Source organism: Homo sapiens, chromosome 12 (assembly GCF_000001405.40).
Source record: "Homo sapiens chromosome 12, GRCh38.p14 Primary Assembly".
NCBI lineage: Eukaryota > Metazoa > Chordata > Mammalia > Primates > Hominidae > Homo > Homo sapiens.
In genome coordinates, this window is record NC_000012.12 from 107,403,316 (window position 1) to 107,425,849 (window position 22,534).

Below are 22,534 nucleotides of genomic sequence, written 5' to 3' on the forward strand. Positions count from 1 at the left end.
TGTGCCTGGAATGACACAGACCGAAAATGTAATGGGTTGTTTCACCGGGCTCTATTTCCAGAATCCATAGGAAGCTTGGCAGATGGGTGCTAAAGCTTCCTACCAGCTACTACATCTCCCTATCAGCTACCTCAGCCCAGGGAGTGCCTTCACCACTCCTGTGAGCCTCAGTTTACTCTTCCCACAATGGGCCTACAGATACCTAGTGATACTTCCTAGGGCTATAGGGAGAATAAAATGAGATCATGTCTGTAAACTGTGTGTCAACAGTACACTTCATAAATGTTATTCACCTTATCCTTGACAAAAGCTTCCACCGATACATTATTCTTGTTTTTAAAAACTTACAGCTATCTGGGAGCACAGACCAAATGGTCAGGGAACACTTTGCAGTCAGGCTTAGCTGAAAGTCGCAGATCCCAGAGGGCAGAGGAAAACTTCAGACAATGAAGTTTGGAGGGTCCACCTCTCCAAAGGGCCACATATTTCCTAGGGAACTCTAAAAATGCCAGGGAGAGACCCTCCTTTCCTGCCCCCCTACCCAAATCAGAAGTAAACAGCATATGGCCGGGCGCGGTGGCTCACGCCTGTAATCCCAGCACTTTGGGAGGCCAAGGCAGGTGGATCACCTGAGGTCAGGAGTTCGAGACCAGCCTGGTCAATATGGTGAAACCCCGTCTCTACTAAAAATACAAAAATTAGCTGGACGTAGTGGCAGGCCCCTGTGACCCCAGCTACTTGGGAGGCTGAGGCAGGAGAATTGCTTGAACCCGGGAGGCAGAGGTTCTAGTGAGCTGAGATCACGCCACTGCATGCTAGCCTGGATAACAGAGAGAGACTCTAACTCAAAAAAAAAAAAAAAAAAAAAAAAAGGAAAAGAAGAAGAAGAAGTAAATGACACAAACAAAGGAGACCCAGTGAAATGCCTGGAAGTCTTTAGAACTTATGAAGAAAACAGAGTTGATAGCAACCAGATTCTATTCTAATGATCCATGTCCCATCTGCTGGAAAGAACTTGCTTCCACAGCAAAATCTCTGCATATTCTCTTGAGCAAGGGGAGAGGGTCCAGAAAAACTTGTAGTTTGGGGAACTGGCCCCACAAATACTCGATCTCTGCTCAAGAGAATGTGGTGGCTGGGCCATCTCTGCATTACCTCTCGGGACCCCCTCCTTGGCACTGCAGCCTGTCTCTAAAATGCATACTAGAGATGGGTGTGCCCAAGACTGCCTTTGAAAGCGACTCCGAAAAATGTAGCACCCCAAAAGATGGAGTATCTGCGAATGACTTGCTGGATTTGGCTCTCCCGGGACTTCCTCTGGCTTCCAGGAGTGATGTATACCCGGGTTTTCTACCGGTTTGGGGAGCATTTATTAATGGTGCTCTGCTGCTTGTTCGAGGCAGGTGCTTTTTCACTGCCACAGCCTGCCCTGATGGATGGCACAGCCTCTTCCCTGGCTGAGGCGGCCCCAATCAGAGCTCTCTCTCCTCACTCCAGGCCTTACTCATCATAGTAGCTACTGTGTCCCAAATGCCAGCTGTGTTGAGACACTGTTCATATGTCTTGGCTTGTGGAAACCTCATAGCCTCCTACAGGGAAGGCACTATTAATATTGTCCATTTTGCAGATGAACATAGTGAGACATGGTTTAAGGACTCCCCAGAGGCCTCACATCGGTGTGAGGTGGCAGATCCAGGATACAAACCCAGGTTGGTGCAGATCCAAGGCCCTGCTGTTTTTCTGCAACATTCTGCTTTGGTGAGTAGATCTTAGGGTGAAGTAGACAAGGCACTGGTTTGATTCACCAGCCTTGGGAGGCACCCCTGTCTGGACCATGGCATACAGTAGGCCAGGTTGTACACTGCTCAGCTCTAGAGGGCACTAGTCACTGTGAAGGCTATGTGAATGGCGCCCTCTAGAATTAAGCAGGGCATAAACTGCACAACCAAAACGGTGGCCGGGCCACTGTGAGTGCTGTTAATGGTTATGTTTATCACTTAGAGCAGTGTTACCTTGGCTCTTCAATTGAGTTCCCATATCCATTAAATAGCAACCTATCAGGGTCATGGTAAGGATCCAAGAGTCTGTCATTAAATGGTCAAATGGTCACTGTTTTTACTGACTTATATTCTACTTTAGATCAATACCCACATCTCCTTTCTATAGCTTCATCCTTACTGAAGGCACCACTCTCCGAGCAGTGGGGCAGGCAAGGGATCAGAGCTGGCACGGCTGTCCGGGGTTGTCCTGTCTGCCAAGCAATGGCAGGAGAGCTGCGAATGGCAGACACTTGGAAATCCTCAAGTCTGGGCTGGAGCCCTGGCAGCAGGCATCTGATCTGCCAGCTTATGCTGGGAAGAGAAGCCGGTCCCTGGGGGGGCTGTGCTGAAAACAGACACATGGCCTGGCATGGCCACCAGCCAAAGAAGTCTTCCTGCCCAGGATTGGTGCAATTGGCCTCTTCTCTTTCCTGTCCTCCTAGGGCCCATCGTCTGCATGAAAGAGGGATTGAGCCAGGCGATTGGAGACCTGAGTGGAGGTCCCCACTCTGCTCCTCACCAGCTCCATCTTGGGTATCATGCTTCTACTCTGTGTCCTCAGTTTTCCCATCTGTAAACGAAGGCATTGGACCAGATTACCTTGGAAAGCCTGTACTTTCTCCCCTCTAGTTTGTTTGAGGGGCAGCTTAGGGTTGTGGTTACGTGGGAGCTGAGTTGTACTCCTGGGTTCTAGTTCTGGCTTTGCCACTTCTCTTAGCTGGGGCATAAGTCACTTAACCTGCCTGGGTATCACTTTCCTCATCTGTAAAACAGGCTGGGCACACGGTTGTGATAGTACCTGTCCCATGGGGTTGTTGCAAAGATTATGGCTTCACATACGAAGTGCTTAGAACAGTGCCTGGCACCAGAAGCACCCCATAAATGGAGCTGGCTACTTCCTAGCCTGCTCCTTAAAGATGTCCCAGTCAGCCAGGTATGAAAGCATGCGCCTGTAGTCCCAGCTATTTGGGAGGCTGAGATGGGAGGATCGCTTGAGCCTAGGAGTTTGAGACTGTAGTGAGCTATGATCACACCACTATATTCCAGCCTGAGCCACAGAGTGAAACCCTGTCTCTCTTAAAACAAATAAAAACCAATGATGCTCTACTTTTTCTGCTTAAAGAGTTAGTCCCACCATCCCAGGACTCGGAGTCTGGTTGCTGTTGAGCCCAGGAACCTCACCATGCATGCTCCTCAAGTGAGCTCAGAGCATGAGATGGTCTCAACTAACCCATAGCCAATATTCACGGAGCATTTCTTCATTTACTCTTTCAGTCTATTTAAAGAGCACCTGCTCAGGTACTGTTGTAGGCTCTGGGGATAAGACAGTGACCAAAACAGGCAGAAATCCCTGTCTTTATGGAGCTTACAATCTAGCAGGGAGAAGCCAGACATTAAATAAATAAAACGCAAAATATAAACATGGATCTCCAGATGTTGCTTTGAAAAAAAACAAAGGAGATTTTCTGATTCTTACCATCCTTATCCCTGGTTGTGACTCACTGGTGTATAAAGCCTAAACTCCCCCAGCCTCAGCTCACACTGTGTTCCTCTAGGTGTCCCCTGAGCTTGGGCTCCGGAGCCAGAGAAGCCTGCGCTTTGAGTCCCGACTCTACCCCTGCAATTTGGCTGCTTTTGACCTTGGGGAAGCCACTTAATCTTTCCCTTCCTATTTCCTCATCTTTAAAATACCATTGCCCCCATCCCAGGACTGTCATGAGGATTCAGTGAGTTAATACACATAAAGCACTTACAACAGTGCTTGCCCCTGTATGACCTCGGGCAAGTCACTCTGAGCCTCAGTTTGCTCATCTGTAAAATGGGCATAAAATAGTCCCCAGCTCACCAGGGTTTGGCAGGCTTCAATGTAATAATGCATGTAAAATACCTGGCACAGTGCTTAGCACACAGTGGATGCTGTTTCTCCTCTCCTGTATTTTTGCTGCACGACAAATCACTCTGAAACTCAGTGACTAAAAGCAACAACTATTTATAATTGCTTACATATCTGTGGGTCAGGTGAGGCAGCTGAAATATTCCAGGCTCAGCTGGGCCACTGTATTTCAAGCTACAGATCCAAGAAGGCTTGGCCCCTTGCTGAGGTTTGGGCTCAGATCTGCTCCACGTGTGTCCAGCAGCTACCAGGGGACACGCTTCTCATGGCGCTGCAGAAGTGCAAGACGGTGAACAGGCAAGGCCTCGTCAGCCTTGAGCTGGGGCAGGTGCCTTCATTTCTGCCTCATTCTGTTGGTAATCAGAAAAGCAATCAAATGGTCAAACTCCAAGTCAAAGGATAGAGAAATAGTTCCCCTTTAGTGGAAAGAACTGCAAAGTCATATGGCAAGAGGCATGAGTGAAGCCAGGGCTGAAGAGTTGGGAACATTAATAGGATCTATTGGGCCTCCTGAGAACCCCCAGAAGATCATTGTAAGCAGCTGGTGATGGCGGCGACTCAGGGAGGTCCTGCGTATTTTCAGCTCTACCAGCTCTCCTAGGATTGCTGTTCCAGATTTCTCCCATCTATGCCTGGGGATATCGTATGGGATTTTCCTCCCAGGAACGTTGTACAGTGATGGAGGATGGGTGCAGGAAGGCTGGACTGCAAAGTCCTGGAATGCTTCCCCCCAACCCCCAACCTCCACGTCAAACCTGTCGTTGCAACGAAATAAATAAAACTGACAGCTGGAAAAATGAGGGGCAAGCAGACCAAATATGATAAACGGTCTCTTGCCGTGTATTGTATTCTCTACAATAAAACCCCAAGCAGATGCTAAAAATGTGTGCGGCTTTGTGAGGAGATAGGCGTGCTCTGTGTGGCCGAGATTTTCTGAGAAAGGTAATTTAACTGCAATGCACATAAAGGAGAGAAAGGCAGAGAAGTAATTTGGAAAGTGTACATCAAGTGCTTTTTAAAAAGTTGATATTGTTGGTTATTTTTCTTTTATTAAAATCCACAGCCCTGTGGGCTGCTGTCCCATCCTTATCGGGCTCATTCAAGACCAGCATTGACATTTCTAATTTGCAAATTTAAAGATTGTCAGGAAATGGTTTAAACACCCAGTATGATTGGGGAGCTTTTTGACTGTGGGTGACAAGAGTGGGCTCACCTCTGGGAAGACAGTAGGGGCAGGGGAGGAGAGCTGGGCTAGATTTAGGGAGAGTTAGGAATAGCTAACATTTATTAAGCACTTAGTATCAGATACTCTTCTAAGTGTTTTACACATATATTTTATTTTGTCTTACATAAATCTGTGATTTCCATTGTACAGATGAGTGTAATGAGGGTCTGGAAGCTCCTAAGCAGCAAAGCTAGCCTTGGAACCCGGCACTGGACTTCGGTATCTTGAGACCACCCCTGGCTTCCCTGCCTCGGGGAAAGAGCGTGAGGCTCAGAGTCAGGCAGTCTGGGGTTCAAATCCTAGCTCTGTCAGTTACTCTGGCCTCGGTGACTTTTTATTCATCCATCTGTTCAGCAAGTGTTAACTGAGATTGAACCTTGCACCAGATGCTGTGCTGGGTGCCAGGGGCACAGTGGTGAGCAAGACCCAGGATCCTGTTCTCATGGGCTTTTAGCCCACCCCTCCAAAAAGTACAGAGCTGCCAGAAAGGAACATAATGCCCTAAGGGCATATGACTAGGGAAACTGTGGGTCTTGGGAAGGCTTCCCCCAGAAAGGGACTTCTGAGTGGATCTTTAAAGGAAGAGTCAGCTAAGCTATATTTCTCCCTCTCCGTCCCCCTCACCTTCCCTCTCTTCTGTCTCTCTGTGTCTCTGTTTCTCTCCGTCTCTCTTTCTGGAAACTCTTACACCTGGACCCAGCTGTCATGCTGTGAGAGAGCCCAGGCCCCATGGAAGGGCCATGTGAAGATGTTGTGGCCAACAGCCCCAGTCAGAACCAGCTATGTAGTTTGCAGGCTCCAGTGCACAGTGAAAATATAGGGCCTCTCCTGTGGAGAAATAGGAACGCTTTTACACTGTTGGCAGGAATGTAAATTAGTTCAACCATTGTGGAAAACAATGTGGCTATTTCTCAAAGATCTAGAACGAGAAATACCAGCAGCCCCATTACTGGGTATATACCCAAAGGAATATAAAGATACATGCACCTGTATGTGCATTGCAGTACTGTTTACACTAGTGAATATATACACCATGGAATACTATGCAACCATAAAAAGGAATGAGATCATGTCCTTTGCAGCGACATGGATAGAGCTGGAAGCCATCCTCAGCAAACTAACACAGGAACAGAAAACCAAACACCGTATGTTCTCACTTATAAGTGGGAGCTGAACAATGAGAACACATGGACACAGGGAGAGGAACAACACACACTGGGGCTTGTCAGGGGTTTGCAGGGAGTGAGAGTATCAGGATAAATAGCTGATGCACTCAGGACTTAATACCTAGGTGATGGGTTGATGTGTGCAGCAAAGCACCATGGCACTTGTTTACCTATGTAACAAACCTGCACGTTCTGTACATGTATCCCAGAACTTAATAAAATATTTTAAAAAGACAGGAAGCACACTATATCAAAAAAAGAAAAGAAAATACAGGGCCTCTTGTTTAAAAATAATTATTAAGATTCCCAAAATGGTGACAACAGAGCATTAAATCAACCATAGAGCCCTTCTCAATGTAGTGCCTTGAGCAACTGAACACGTTGCATACCCATGAAGCCCTGGCCCAGCTGAGGTTCCAGCATCCCCTGCCAGCAGTAAGAGTGAGGAAGCCTTCCAGAGCACATCGGCCCAGCCACTGTGTGATTGCAACTGTATAAGAGATCCTGAATGAGAGCCACTCAGGGCACCTCCAGACATGCCCAGCACGCAAACTTTGTAAGCAAGTAAATAAATGATCAGAATTGTTAAAAAAAAAAAAAAAAAAAGTCAGCTACGCTAAGGAACGGGGGCAGAGTGGGTTCTAGGCAGAGGAAAAAGTACAAGGTGCTGGGTCAGATGGCTGTGTGGTGTGTTTAGGAGCTGAAGTGGGTTGTGGTAGGAGGGAGCAGAGTTGAGGGGAGAGTGGGTAGAGAGGGAGAGAAGAATCCAAGAATTCCAGGCTTGTCCTGAGAGCAGAAGATGCTGGGGGATACAGGAAGGGAAGGACCTACCATGGTTTGCACTTGTAAAGACCTCCTTAGGCTGCGGGATTCTGACTTGGTGAAGGGAATAGAGTTCCTGCAGTGAAATGGGTAGGCCCAGTTAAGAGGCTGTGCAAGGGGAGGGAATAGCCATGGACTGGACCAAGGCAGTAGCAGTGGAGATGGGGAGGACTTGGACAGATTTTGAAGATGGAATTCAATAAGACATAGTGAAGGACTGGAAGGAGAAAGAGAAGGGACAAGGGTTACTGAGCCCCTAGGTGAATGGAAGTGTCCTTGCTGGGAAAGGGAGAGAGTGGAGGAGAATGGGGTTTAAGCAAGCTTGTCATGGGTTTCATCCTAGGCTAGCTGAATTGAAGGTGCTTTTGCTAAAAGAGATGCTAATCAAATAGTTGGATAGATCAAGCTGCAGGTGGAATTTGGGGAGCTTTCAGGGTATAGACAGAGAATGAAGCTCTGAGCATGGATGAAATTACCTGCAGACAACATCTAGAGCTGTGCTATCCAGTACAACAGCCACTAGCCACGTGTAGTTACTAATGTTTACATTAATTGAGGTCAGGCTTGGTGGCTCATGCCCGTAATCCCAACACTTTGGGAGCCTAAGGTGGGCGGATCACTTGAGGTCAGGATTTTGAGACCACCCTGGCCAACATGGCAAAACCCCGTCTCTACTAAAAATACAAAAAAAATCTGGGCGTGGTGGCATGTACCTGTAATCCCAGCTACTTGAGAGGCTGAGGCACGAGAATCACTTGAACCCAGGAGGCAGAGGTTGCAGTGAGCTGAAATTGTGCCATTGCACTCCAGCCTGGCAACAGAGCGAGACTCCGTCTCCCCCCTCCAAAAAAAATTTAATTAATTAATTGAAATGAAATACAATTTCAAATTCAATTGCTTGGCTGCCTACTCGAGACTTGATTGTCTCCTATGTGTAGACATTCATACTTACCTCGCTGGGGTATTATGTGAATCAAATGCTGAAATTTATGTAAGGCACCAATAAGTGCGGTGTCTGGCATTCTTAAACATTGCCAGAATTAATGTGGGATATTCTATAGTTCTCAATAAATATTAGTGTCCCCCTCTTTTTTCTGGCAGGGTGTGGCAACTTGGTGAGGTCCCTCACTATTTCTCTGGCTCTCCGTTGCCTCAGAGCAGGAGGACTATGAGCCCTCTGCGCTGCCATGTCTGATTCTGCGGCCTGTGAGCCCAAGGGCCTCATGAGCTATACAGATTTATGCCAAGTGTCTTCTCCTCATCACTTCCCTCGTCTTGCAGGACTGACTAGCTGTGGCCAGTGGGGTGAGTTTTACCTTGAGCTCTCCGTCTATACCCTGTGAGCTCTCCAAATTCCAGCTGCGGCTTGATCTATGTCTCTGATTAGTGGATGTCATGGTTTATGATCTGCTGAGCCACATCTAGCCATACTCAGACCGGTGGTTCTGGGGACTGAGAGCAAGTCCTTTTATGGCCTGTGGCACCAGAGCCATAGAACAGTGACTCATTTTGAGCCAAGAGTGTTTATTCCTGCTACAAGGATGCCAGGGCCCCCAGCAAACCCTGACTCAACCTGAAGGATGAGCAACCGCAGTGCTGTTTAGGAATGGTGGATCTTATTACAGCAATTGACAGTGTTTATAGGGTGGCCCTCTATTACTCTGCTTTAATGCTGCTATCAACAACAGACATTTATTGAGCTCTTAATGAGTACCGGAGACTGTGCTAATACTGTCTATATAACCCTTCATTTTATTCCTGCAACAGCCCATGTGGCAAACATAATACAATGCTTCCCATCTTGCAGATGAGGATTCTGAAGTTTGGCAAGTTCAAGTAGCTTGCCCAAGGCCCCACAGCTCACAGCCTGAGCCAAGCTCAGACGCCTGTGCCTTCACGCTGACTGTCGGATATTATTCATCCAAGCAGGACACATTAGTCCTGCAAGATTGAAAGAGGCAGCGAAGGGGAGCCATTTGTGCGTAACGTCCACCAAATGGCAATGCTGTTCATGAAATTGCACTAACCGAGGAACACGGAAACGTAGGAGGTTGGAGCGTGGGCCTTAAGAGATCATTTTATTATTTCACAGGTCCGAAAACTGGGGCCCCAAGAGATAAGGGCTGTGCCAGGTGACATGCAGATCAATGAAGACACGCCCTTCCCTGACCACCCAGTCAACTCGAAGCCTAGTGCCTGCCTAGTGTACCCTGCCTAATTAGGGTGCTCTTGCTGTGGGCAGTGGGGTGAGGTGGGAGGAAGGTAAGAAACCACTGAATTAAAGGAACTCTGAATTGAAGGATCTCACTTCCAATTTGTTGCCCCTCCCCCTCCACCCTACCCATCTAGTGTCTGGATTACCTCATTTGATAGCCCCCAAACTCATAGGATCATCAGGATCATGTGAAGGACCTGCTAAAACTTCAGATTTCCCAGGCCACAACCCTGGAGCTCCAGATGCAGCGTGTCCGGGGTTGCAACTGGGAAATGGCACTTCCTTAAAATCTCCAACTGATTTTAATATGCATTGAGGCCGGGCGCGGTGGCTCACGCCTGTAATCCCAGCACTTTGGGAGGCCGAAGTGGGCGGATCACAAGGTCAGGAGATCGAGACCATCCTGGCTAACACCGTGAAACCCTGTCTCTACTAAAAATACAAAAAATTAGCCGGGCGTGGTGGTGGGCGCCTGTAATCCCAGCTACTCAGGAGGCTGAGGCAGGAGAATGGCGTGAACCCGGGAGGCGGAGCTTGCAGTGAGCCGAGATCGCGCCACTGCACTCCAGCCTGGGCGACAGAGCGAGACTCCGTCTCAAAAAATAAAAAAAAAAGCGCATTGAAATTTGGGAACTGCCACCTTAATCCATGACGACTAAGATGCAGATGAGGAAGCTGAAGTTTGGCAAGTTCAAGTAGCTTGCCTAAGGCCACACAGCTCACAGCCTGAGCTAAGTTCAGACGCCTGCACCTTCACGCTTACTGTTGGATATTATTCATCCAAGCAGGACACTCTAGTCCTGCCAGATTGAAAGAGACAGCGAAGGGGAGCATTTGTGTGTAATGTCCACCAAATGGCAATGCTGTTTATGAAAAAAGTGATTAACATTGTTCTGTAGAACACCAGCTCAGTTCCATGGGGGCATGAGGAGGTGTTATGTAAAAAAAAAGAAAAAAAATTGTCTGGAAGATTTTTAACAGCGATTGTTGAAGATTATTTTATAAGTTTGGGAACTGTTGAGTTAAAGGAGTGATTCCTACGGTGGCTTCACATTAGCATCACCTGGGAAACTTTTGACAGCTCCTGCCCAGGCAATGCTGAGTCCCTCTTAGGGGCAGGACTCAGGAATAAATCATTTGTAAAACTCCCCAGGTAATTCTAATGTGTGGCCAGGTTGAAAGGCACTAGGTTAGACAAAGCTAAATTGGCTTTTTAAATTGCAGAACTTCTCAGGGCTTTCAATACACAGTGAAATGCACATTGTGGATCCCTAAAAGGAGAAATAGATAGTTTATTTTCTCAGCCTGGGCATCTGGGGCACACAAGAGAAAAGAAGGCATAGCTAGGAAAGGAAGGTCATACGAAGTATGGAAAGAGTATGTATTAGTAAGAGGTGGTGAGGACAGGCAATGTGAAATTTAGAGACTCGTCTAATTTTTTTAATGCAAATGAACATGAATTTATTTTTAGACTGATTAGAATCTCAGGGATAATTTGCTAATTGGTAATGGTTCCAATACTTTTTCAGCCACACAGCATTTCTATATGCAATAAAAACAGCATCAATTGTATTATCCTAGTGGGGGCTCCGAATACACTGTGTGGATCATATGGACTGGAGATGTTAGTGCCATTCTACAGAACGTGATGCTTTAAAAATATCAATCAGCTCCTGTCATTCCCCTACTTAAAACTGTCTGAAGGATTCCCCTCCCATTCCTCACTTTCTTACAAAGCCTTGCATTACTGATGTCTAAATTTTTACCCCCACCCAAAAAACCCGAGCATGCACCCTCATGATAAGCACAATCATTTGGAAATTAAAGACATAGTATTGGCAATAATATAGTAACATTAATTGACTTTAATTTCCTTCTTAAACGTTTAGAGGCAGAAATAAAGGTGGCGAGACATTCGGCTATTTTTTTCCTGCACAATTGATCATCATTTGCACCCCGTTTTGAGGCCACACCTCGTCTGGTCTCTGCCTTTCTCCAGCATCATCTTTTTTTCACCATCCCCCCCTTTCTTTTCTTTTCTTTTTCTTTTTTTTTTTTTGAGGCAGAGTCTCACTTTATCACCCAGTCTGGAGTGCAGTGGCGCAATCTCAGCTCACTGCAACCTTCAGCTCCCAGGTTCAAGCAGTTCTCATGCCTCAGCCTCCCGAGTAGCTGGGATTATAGGTGCACACCACCATGCCTGATTTTTGTATTTTTAGTAGACACAGGATTTCACCATGTTGGCCAGGCTGATCTCAAACTCCTGACCTCAAGTGATCCACCTGCCTTGGCTTCCCAAAGTGCTAGGATTATAGGCATGAAGCCAGTGTGCCCGGCCCGATCACCATCTTATCCCACGCAGACTACACTCCCACCTCACAGCTTCCGTCTGAACTTCCAAGTGCAGCCCAGACTTTGGGACACGCACGATCTGTTTCCTCCACTTATCATGCTCATCCTCCTGTTTTCACATTGCTGGCTTCTCCTGGTCACACTGGTCTTATTTTCACTGTTGCCTCTTCAGAAGGACCTTCCATGGCCACTCCACATAAAACTGAGATCAGACATCACCACTGACTCAGACCCACTGACTCAGACATCACCCATTTTAATTATTTGAGTAGCGCTTCCCACTGTCTGATGTTTTTCTTATTGGTTTGTTCATCGTCTGCCTCCTCCAGCAGAGAAGAACAGTGCCCACTACAGAGGAAGAGCTGCGTTAACTACTTTTTGGATAAAAACACAAACTGGGCTGGGCGTGGTGGCTCACACCTGTAATCCGAGCACTTTGGGAGGCCGAGGTGGGCGGATCACAAGGTCAGGAGATCGAGACCATCCTGGCTAACATGGTGAAACCCCGTCTCTACTAAAAAACCAAAAAATTAGCCAGGCATGGTGGCAGGTGCCTGTAGTCCCAGCTACTTGGGAGGCTGAGGCAGGAGAATGGCGTGAACCCAGGAGGCAGAGTTTGCAGTCATCCGAGATCACGCCACTGCACTCCAGCCTGGGTGACAGAGCGAGACTCTGTCTCAACCAAAAAAAACAAAACAAAAAAACAAAAAAACAAAAACACATACTGAGACTCAGAGGGATTAGAACACTTGTCTAGGCCTGGCTGTCAGTTAATGGTAGAGCTAGAATTTGAACCCCCAACCTATATGACCCCGAGTTCAAGGTTCTTTGCTTCATGCCATGCTGCCTCGTTCTTCAGGGGCTGGTGAGAGTGGTTTGAGCCCACACTCTGACAGTCTGAGTCTGAAATCTGTTATGATGTCAGATGACTATGGAATTTGAAAGAAAAAAAAAAGTGACTGGCATTTTACGCTCTGTTTCACAGCCAGCCAGTAATGGGAGGTTGGAAAAATTCTGGAGTCTGAAATAATTCGGGCAGGCGCAGCTGCAAATGAGAAAAGTCTGTGGTCAGGAACCGCAGAAGGTGAACACAGCCTGGAGAAATGCTTGCCCACGTGTCATGACGGAGCCCAGAATCCAAGGAAAGGTGCCAGATGTGTTTGTTGAAGGAGAAAGGAGGCTCTTCCATATTTCCTTCCATTCCTTGTGCAATTTTGAAGCATCAAGACCTGGCACCTAGAGAGAGAGGTATTGAACACGTATGCTCTTCCTTCCTTTTATTGAGCACCTGCCAGGAACTGAACTCGAATTATTTCTGTTAGCAGTTTCTGGAAATCCAGCTAGCTGGTCCTTCCTCTGCCCAGAAGGTCCTGTACCCACTCGTTTATGCTGAGGGGGTGGGGGGAAAGCAGAAAGGAGGATGAACCCCTGAGGCCCTGTGATCTTTGAAGAATAAATGGTTCAACTATTTGGATGCCTAGTTAGGTATGTTTGTTAAGAACCCCCATCACCTCCCTGTCTTACTTCTTCTCTTTCCAGGAGTAACTCACTTACAGTTGAACTAGAAAGCAGTTGGTTGTCTGGCCCTGTCGGTGTTTCCATCCTATTTTCACACCATGTCCTCTATGTTTTGTTTTGTTTTGTTTTTAAGAGACAGGTTCTCACTCTGTCACCCAGGCTAGAGTGCAGTGGCACAATCAAGTGGTCCTACTGCCTCAGCCTCCCAAATAGCTGTGACTACAGACGAGTGCCACCCTGCCTGCCTAATTTGTAAAAAATGTTTTGTAGACATGGGGGTCTCACTATGTTGTCCAGGCTGGTCTCAAACTCCTGGCCTCAAGTAATCCTCCTACTTCGGCCTCCCAAAGCAATAGGATTATAGGCCTGAGCCACCGTGCCCAGCCACCCCATGTCCTCTTAATGCAAGGTGGGTTTCTCCCTTCTTCCCTTTCTGTTGAGAACAGGATCCCTAGTGATGAATAAACAGGCAGAATAAAGAGGATCAAATTTGACAACTGAAGGCGAGGAAATTAGCAACTGAATTTTCCCTGCCTGGATCTTCTTCTTTCATATCCTGTTATCAAAACAATATTGATGGTGTTGTGTTGAAAGGAGGTTTCCTCATTCATTCATCCAAGCGTAGGTACACTCATTGATTGGTTAAAAGCACAACCTTTGGAGTCAAACAGAACCACGTCTGCCACCGGCTGGCCTTGGGACCTGTGTTAGTATCCTAGAGCTGCCATAACAAAATACCACAAACTGGGTGGCTCAGCATAGCAGAAACTTCTCTGAAGGCTGTGGATCCTTCCTCACCTCTTCCAGCTTGACTTACGGCCTCATCACCCCAGTCTCTCTCTCTGTTTCTCATCTGCCTTCTCCTCTTCTGTCTCTTTGAAGGACACTTGTCTTTGGACAGTATCTTTGTAATTCTCCTGAGTAATCCAGGGTGATCTCATCTCAAGATCCTTGACTACATCTCCCAAGTCCCTTAAATGGGACTTTGACCACCATTTAGCCCACTAAACAACCTCAGGCAAGTTATTCAACCTCTCTGTGCTTTGGTGGTTTTAGCTGTAAAATGGAGATGCCCGTACTATGTATCCCGTAGGGAGAATAAGTAGAAGGCTCTTTCAGTGTCCGCGCATAGCGTGTGTACCATCAACAGCAGATACTCTCGTTTACTGAGTATCCGCCCTGTGCTCAGACATTGTGCTCGGCTCACACTGCATACCCTGATGAGCTGAGTCCCACGCCCCCTCTGATATAGTCTGCAGAACCTGTGTTTAATTCCTGTGTGCATCTGAGGTCTACCCAGTGATGGGAGTGCCCAGCAACTCTGCAAAGCCCAGTTTTCCTACAGATAGAGAATGACCCATGGCCCCACCAGTAGGGAGAAGTTTGGAGGCAATTCTAGAAAGTTTCTCAGCTTATTCCAAGATATCTTTCTGGCAATTTTTGGGACAGAGGAAACTAGCAGCTGTGTGATGGTTAATACTGAGTGTCAATTTGATTGGATTAAAGGATGCAAAGTAATGATCCTGAGTGTGTCTGTGAGGGTGTTGCCAAAGATTAACATTTGAGTCAGTGGGCTGGGAAAGGCAGACCCACTCTTAATCTGGGTGAGCACCATCTAATCAGCTGCCATTGTGGCCAGAATATAAAGCAGGCAGAAAAACCTTGAAAAGGCTAGACTGGCTTAGCCTCCCAGCCTATATCTTCCTCCCATGCTGGATGCTTCCTGCCCTTGAATATCAGACTCCAAGTTCTTCAGCTTTGGGACTCGGACTGGCTTCCTTGCTCCACAGCTTGCAGATGGCTTATTGTGGAACCTTGTGATTGTGTGAGTTGATACTACTTAATAAACTCCCCTTTATATATACATCTATCCTATTAGTTCTGTCCCTCTAGAGAACCTTGACTAATACAAGCTGGTTCTTAGAAGTCAAGCTAGACCTGCATCCTGTCCTCACTCCAGCCCCAGCCCACCCGGCCTAGCCACTGTGGTCTTTTCTCAGTATTTGGAATTGACAAGGACACTTCTTATCCACCACACAGTAGGTGTTCCACAGAGGACAGGGCTGTGAGCATCGTGAGAACAGCAGCATGTTGCAGCCCAGAAACTGGGCATCCGAGAAGGGAGTTGGTCTGATAGAGAGCTGGCAGGAGTGCCTGTCCCTTCTTTGCAGTTCTCTTGGGTGACCTTGAGCAGGACCCCACGCTTCTCTAAGACTCAGATATTCAGTTAGAGTTTGATGGGGTTGATTTAGAGCAGTTTTCCAACCTAAAAAACAAAACAGTAAGACTTGCTTTAAAATCTTTCCCCAAATCCCATTTTATGTAACTCAAATATCTGCTGAGGGCTCCCTGTCCTCAGTCCTACCCCCATGAAAGTCCAGTGGCTTCCCTAGGATTTTTTTCAAGTATCCCTACTTGCCCAGGTAGCAGATGGCCTGATAATTTAATGCAGTTCAAAGGAGCAGGTTGCTGGAATTTAATTAAGAAACAAACACTTTGAGAATGCTTGCTCTTGGAGACAGACTTGAGGGCTGGTGATCAGGGTCATGAGGTTGCATACCCCCAGGGGAGTTTATTAAGTAGTATCAACTCACATGATCACATGATGGGCCAGGGGGCCCATTCACAGCAGAGACCAGGGGAACCAGCTGGGTGGAATGAGGCCCACATGGCTGTGTGCAGTGGCCTGTGGCCTATGAGGGAGACATGTTTGTTCTGTGACCTTCTCCTCTTGCATTCTATCCCTCCAGGCACTGACCTGCTGGGTCTATGCAAGTGGAGCACTTAGAATAAGCCCAGACTCCTTTTCATGGCCTGAGAATCCTTCCATGATCTGGCCTCTGCCTGCCTGCCTCTCCAGACCCTCCCAGGACCAGTCAATTGATTCCTGCCTCTGGATGTTTGCAGTTGCTGTTTGATCTGCTTGGATCATTCTCTCCAACCCCTAATATTCCCATGACCACTTCACTCTCCTCATTCAGGTCTTCAGGGTAAATGCTACCTCCTCTGAGACAACTGTTTGGAGCACTTTGTCTACAGCCGCTCTCTGTCTCCTGTTACCCCCAGCTGCTTAACCCCTCTGTGCCTTGGCTTCTCACCTATAAAATAATGGCACTGTACCACATAGGATGGTTATTAGGATGGAATGAGTTAATACAGGAAGAATACTTAGACCTGGCATAGGAAGTACTCAATGAATGTTAGTTATTTACATGATCGTCCTCATCGTTAATTTCAGCCCAGACTTGCTAACCTTGATTCGAAGTTTCAGACAGCTTTCTTACACACATGCCACAGGAACCAGAGTTAGGTGAAGAGCATGCCTAGCAGAGGGAGCAGCATGAACCAATGCCAGACACAGCACTGTGACCTGGGAAAGCCCAGGCGGAGTGGTATGGATCAAGTGTGATGTTTGAGGAATGAAAAAGGAAATGGTGGTGGAGGAGTCACTAGAAGACCTTGTAGGCCAAGTTGAGAGGTTGGCAGTGGGGAACCAGTGAAGGGTTTTCAGCAGATGTGCACGTTGGAAAGATGGCCCTGCACCTTTTTTCCCCACATGAGAGTCAAACCCAAAGCAAGGGTCCTCGTTACTCCTCTGAAACTGCTCTCTCAGGGACCTCAGTTTATACATCCAGTGGGGGGATTTCCGATGATGTCCTTCTTGATCTTTCTGATCCACTTGAGAGTTGACCACACCATCTCTCCTAAACCCTTCTGCATTCTTGGTGTATTAGTCCATTTTCATACTGCTATGAAGAAATACCTGAGACTGGGTAATTTATAAAGAAATCGAGGTTTAATGGACTAACGGTTTCACATGGCGGGGGAGGCCTCACAATCATGGCGTAAGGCAAAGGAAGAGCAAAGGCATGTCTTACATGGCAGCAGGCAAGAGAGCATGTGCAGGAGAACTGCCTTTATAAAACCATTAATCATATCAGACTTATTCACTATCATGAGAACAGCACGGGTAAAACCCACCCCCATGATTCAATTACCTCCCATCAGGTCCCTCCCATGACATGTAGGGATTATGGGAGCTACAATTCAAGATGAGATTTGGGTGGGGACACAGCCAAACCACATCATTTGGCTTCTTTGATATGTTACTAGATCTTCTGAGAGGCAGCACATTGTGCTGGAAACAGCCCTGACTTTAGGCCTGGATTAGAATCACAAGCTCATCACTGCCTTAGTTGTGGGACTCAGGCAGTTTACTCGACTCTCACCTTCAGAAGCTTTTCTGCACCCTGGGGATTAAAAGACCCAGCTGAGTATTGACTTTAAGTATGTAGAGGACACTACCCCATCCCACTGCTTCCTTCTGTCTCCTGCTTTCTATTTTTCTTCCTGCCCCTAAATGTAGGTATTTTCCAAGGGAGCTGCCCGAATCATTACTATTCAGCTGACACAAGCCTTGGTTCCAAATTTTCATATCTCTTCTACCAACTTTCTAAGCTGTTATAAAAGAGTAGAGAGGTTTCAGTAGAGAGGAAGTCTACTGAAGGATTATTGTTTGAGGCTTTTCTTTTTCCACATACATTTCTCAATGTGCTGAGTCTATCGAGAAAAATTTTGTCTCCAAGAGAAGGTGCAAGAATAGGCAAGAAACACAGTCCTACTGAGAGGCTTTTTAATTAGCCTCATACATGGATTGATTTTTCTCTTCCTGTTTAAATTGAACATCTCTGTAGTTTTAGAGCGAGTTGCCACTTTCTCCAAATTGCATGAGGTAAAGAAAAAGGAGAGATCTGTTACTAAGTGAAGTAGACAGAAGGGATTTCCTTTAAATACCCACAGCACGTGGACTTCTCTGCTGGGACCTTCCACAGCTGAGAGGGATGGCAAGTACTGACCAGATAATATATTGGTGCCAGAAGGGAGCACCCGCTCTGTGCCTCTTTAATGACGAGAAAGAGAATCTGCTTAGACTTTCTTAGAATTTAAGGCAAAGAGAAAAAGCCTGCAAAGCTCTTCTGCTAAGAGAAAATATAAAAAGTGCTGAAATGCTTCAGAGAAAAGGAAATCATGCATTTCTAGGCCTAGCACTGAATTGTTCGGTAAACGATATAAGCCACCTTTGACAGGGGTCCACTTTATTTCTTCTCTGGAACCCCACTATACAGAAATAAAAGTTGGGCTGCTCAGTCAAAGCAGGGAAGTAGGCTCAAAGTACCCCCTGCGCCTTCCACTTCGGCCTAGAGGTGAGCTGATCTTTGAAGACCATGGATCTCATCCAATCTCTTCATTGTGCAGATGGAGAAACTGATGGACCAGAAAGGCCTCCATTTGCCCAAGGCCGGTAATTACATATTTAGCATTTACTCAGGCTCTCGACAAATACTTACTGAGCACCTATGGTGTGCCCGGCACTCTTCTGGACACTGAGCTACAGCAGTGAACAAGAGACAGAGTCCTTGGCCTGAGGGAACTTATACTCTAGTGGGGAAGACAAAGTACAAAGAAAAAAATATATAATGTAATGTCAGGTAATAGAAAATGCTATAGAGAAAAGAAAGGCTGGGAGGTAGATAGGTTTGGGGAGCTACTTTCAATGGGATAGTCAAGGAGGGGTCTCGAGGAGGTAAAATTTGAGCAAAGAGAGGGATCCAGGAAGATACTGGGGGAGAGGAATCTAGATGGAGGAAGGAACAAGCGTGAAGTTCCTAACATGAGAATGGACATGATATAAGCAAGGCCAGCATGGCCAGGGCTGAGTGAGCGAGGACAAGAGTGATGGAAGATGGGTCAGAGAGGGAGATGGGTCAGAGAGGGAGATGGGCCAGATCTGCAAGGCCTTACAGGCCATGATGAGGCCCTACAGGTTGCAGAAAGTCTTTGGATTTTATCCAAAATGGAATGGGAGCCCACTTTGAATGCATGGTTCCAAGCAGAAGAGTGACATGGTCTGCATTAGGCTTTAAAGGAATAATTCTGCCAGTCTGCTAAGTGGAGAATAGGCTGTAGAAAGATAAGAGGGAAACAGTGAGACCAAGAGGAGACTTTCACAGTTGTTTAGGTGAGAGATCTTGATGGCTTGGACCTTGATGGCAGCAGTGGAGGTGATGAGAAGTTGGCAAGATTTGGGATCTATTTTGCAGGCAGATCTGCCAAGATTTGCTAACAGATTGAATGAGGAGATAACTTCTTATGCCTCTTTTGTGCAAAGCACTATACTAGGTTGTATTAATTAGGACTCTTGCTTATAAGAGCAGAAACCCAACTCACACTGGCTCCTGTAACTGAACAGTCAAGCCATAGATGAGTTTCAGGCATAGTTGGTTCCAGGATTGCAAATTATATCTTCAGAATTTAGCCTTCTCTCTTATCTTGGTTCCATTTCTCACATGTAGCCCCCAGCAGCTCTAAGCTGACACAAAGCTTATGGATATCAATTGCCATGGGGAAAGAATATTTCTTCCTCTATAGTTTCAACAGAACTGATGGTTCATCTACCTTATGTTACCTGCCCTTTTCTGACACAATCACTCTGTCCAAGAAAATAGAATACACAGCTTGACCAAGCCTTCTTGTGTGCTCAATCTGGAATCGGGAGTGGTGGCAGAGAAGTGTCCCTTCCCCCCTAAAGTTGTGCATTACTAGGAGGGAGAAAAACGAATACTATGTAGGCAAAAATAATCAATGTATACTACCTGAGGATAATAAGAATTTTTTCAATAAGTGAGAATTCTGCCTTCTCATTTTTTCTTGTCACAAAGTATGCTTTCACATAGACATAAAATGTAATTGTAGCAAAGAGAACTACAATGTGCTTGATACCCATTTTCAGAGTGCTTCGCCACACATTATCTAGCTGCAGAACACAGTATCTCCATGCCAAGAAAAGGAAGGTGAACCTGAAAAGCTGACAGTCACATGTTCTCTAACCACCTGAAGAGCACTGAGAGAGCGGAAAGTCGTACAGTATTTCTCCCATTCAGACAGGAGAGCACACTGTATCCAGCTATTGTGTAAGGAGGATGGAGAAGTGGGACATTGATGGTGCAGGGTGGTGTGGTGTGTGGGGCCGGGAGGAGAGAGGTTGGTGATGAGAAAAAGCAGGGGACGTTGCACAGAGGTCCCGATTTGGAGCCCGTGATGCCAAATGACCCTGGACATCAGGCTTTCTGCTAAAAAAGGATAGCTGAGTCACACTGAATTATTCAGACAAAAGTTTGGTGACAAGCTGATACCACTCCAGGCCTGTCCCTCAGCAGTGTGGGCTGTTTGGCCTTGAGAATGCAAGCCAGACTCATTTAAAGAAACACTGAGAAGACGCTGGTTTTGCTTCATTGAAGTAACAGTTCCTCCACTACCTCTCTTGCTTTCAGTGACATCTGCTCACTTCCCTGAGTTGTTTTCTTTGGATAGTTTTGTACTTGCCTGAGTTTTGTTTGCCTCTGGGGCTGATTTAGTCTTGTCAGTTAAGAAGATTCCCAAAGCCCCAAATTTGCCCATGAAATTGTTAACTTGCATCTTCCTACCCACCATGGCACCATAAGCTGTGCCACGTGACGTGGGAGGACTCAGCTAATGCCATTACCTTGAGAAGCCAGAGCGGGCACTTAAGTGGTGTGAAAAACAACAATAACAACAACAAAAAACAAATAAAAAACCAGTTCAGATTCTCCACCCTGGGGTCGTCTCCCTGGTTACCTTATCAGTGGCGGCTTCATCCTGGAGACCCTGGGGTCTAATTCAGGTTCAGCGCTTCTCCAGTGCATCCTTGGAAATTCGAAGTGTTTACTAGGAAAACAGTGTCCCCTGCCTTTTTCTCCTTTCTCTACCCCTCACCCACTGCAGGTAAACATCAAGGTGGCAGAATTGCTGCTCTGTGGTCCATTCAGGCCCATATTCCTTCTCCCTTGGAGATGCGGAGTGGATTCAGGATCGAGAGTAGAGAGGAAGATGCAGTGAAAGAATTTAAAAGGCTGCTTGGTTTAATGAAAAGCCCTGAGGCTTTGGAATCAGCCAAGGATGGGTTTGAGCCCCAGCTCTGCTACTTATTAGAGGTGTGGCTTTGAATGCGTGGCTCCATCTTTCTGAGTTTCCATTTTCTCAGCTGTAGACTGGGAATGACATGCACTTTATGAGGTGCTGTAAGGAAAAAAGGAAGGAAGAGTCAAAACTCTTTTCAGCCCAGACTCCTCTCCTGACCCAGACCTGTATACCACCCAGCTGTTGCTGGAAGGGTCCACCTAGATGACCCTCAGAACCCTAAAACCTAGCACTCATCTCCCCACATTGCCACACACCAAGCTAGCTCCTCCCAGCTCCTCACCTGAACTCCTGCATATCTGCCACTTTCACATGCAGGGTGAATGGGCCACGCCTGTTAGGTTTGCCTGATTAACGTATTTATGGCCAGTCCTCCCTCTGTGTTCCTCTGCTCCTGCCTTGGCCCTGTCCCTCCTAGTAGCTGTCTAACTGGTCTCCCCACTCCAGTGGTCCATGCTGCGGACACAACATCTTTTCTAAAATCCAGACCCGGTCATCTCACACCCTCGATTGCCTGCCATGGCTCCCATTACCTAAGCATAGTGCCCCAAACTCCTTAGCAGACCAGGCCCTGTCTGCCTTCCCGGCTTTATCTCTCGACAGTCCACGGCCCTGCCATGCTGACCTCATGGTTCGTGCTTCCATGCGTTTGCCAATGCCAGCCCCTCCACCGGAGTGCCATTTTCCCTTTGTCTCCTGGATTGCACACGTAATACTTCCTTATTTTTCAAAATTAGCTCAAGAATCACCTCCTCTATTATCTAAACATTAAAAGGAATGAAGTCCTGATACCTACCATATGGATGAATTAAGCAACGACTTAATTGGAACAGATTTCCTTGTGGGGTGAGGAAAATGTTTTGGAATTAGATAGGGTGAGGATTGCACAAAACTGTGAATGTACTAAATGTACTAAACTAGACTGTTCACCTTAAAAGGGTTAATTTTTGTATTATATGATTTTGCCTAGATTAAACAAACTCAAAGAATTGCACCTTAAAAGGGTTAATTTTGTATTATATGAATTTTGCCTCGATTAAACAAACTCAAAGAATTGCTCCTTTTGTAAAGACTTTCATGGACCTCCCGGGTGAAAACCAGACCGCTTTTTTAATGGTGGCCCCATGCCTACCATATTTCATTCAGATCTTATCAGATCACTCCCAGAACTTCACTACACTCATTTATTTCCATGCCTGTGAACCCAGCGGCCTATGAGCTCCTTAAGCTCCATCTTCTGCAGCTAGCACACGGCCAGGCACGTGGTGATGCTCAGTTGGTGCCAATCCTCCCCTACCCTTGTCT

At 46.6% G+C, this 22,534-nt stretch overlaps 1 protein-coding gene across 6 annotated transcripts in view; it reads left to right on the top strand.

The window, feature by feature from the left end:
* Positions 1–22,534, top strand: part of ABTB3 (ankyrin repeat and BTB domain containing 3) — a 341,209-nt gene that overhangs the window by 84,882 nt on the left and 233,793 nt on the right. The window contains exon 1 of one of the 6 annotated variants that reach the window (XM_011537909.3): positions 12,379–12,961. The exons of the other annotated variants lie outside the window; for them this stretch is intronic. Within the exon in view, the coding sequence (XP_011536211.1) occupies positions 12,868–12,961 (94 nt within the window). The 5' untranslated portion in view covers positions 12,379–12,867. Of the gene's footprint in view, positions 1–12,378; positions 12,962–22,534 lie in introns of those variants that run through there. 6 annotated transcript variants of the gene reach the window in all.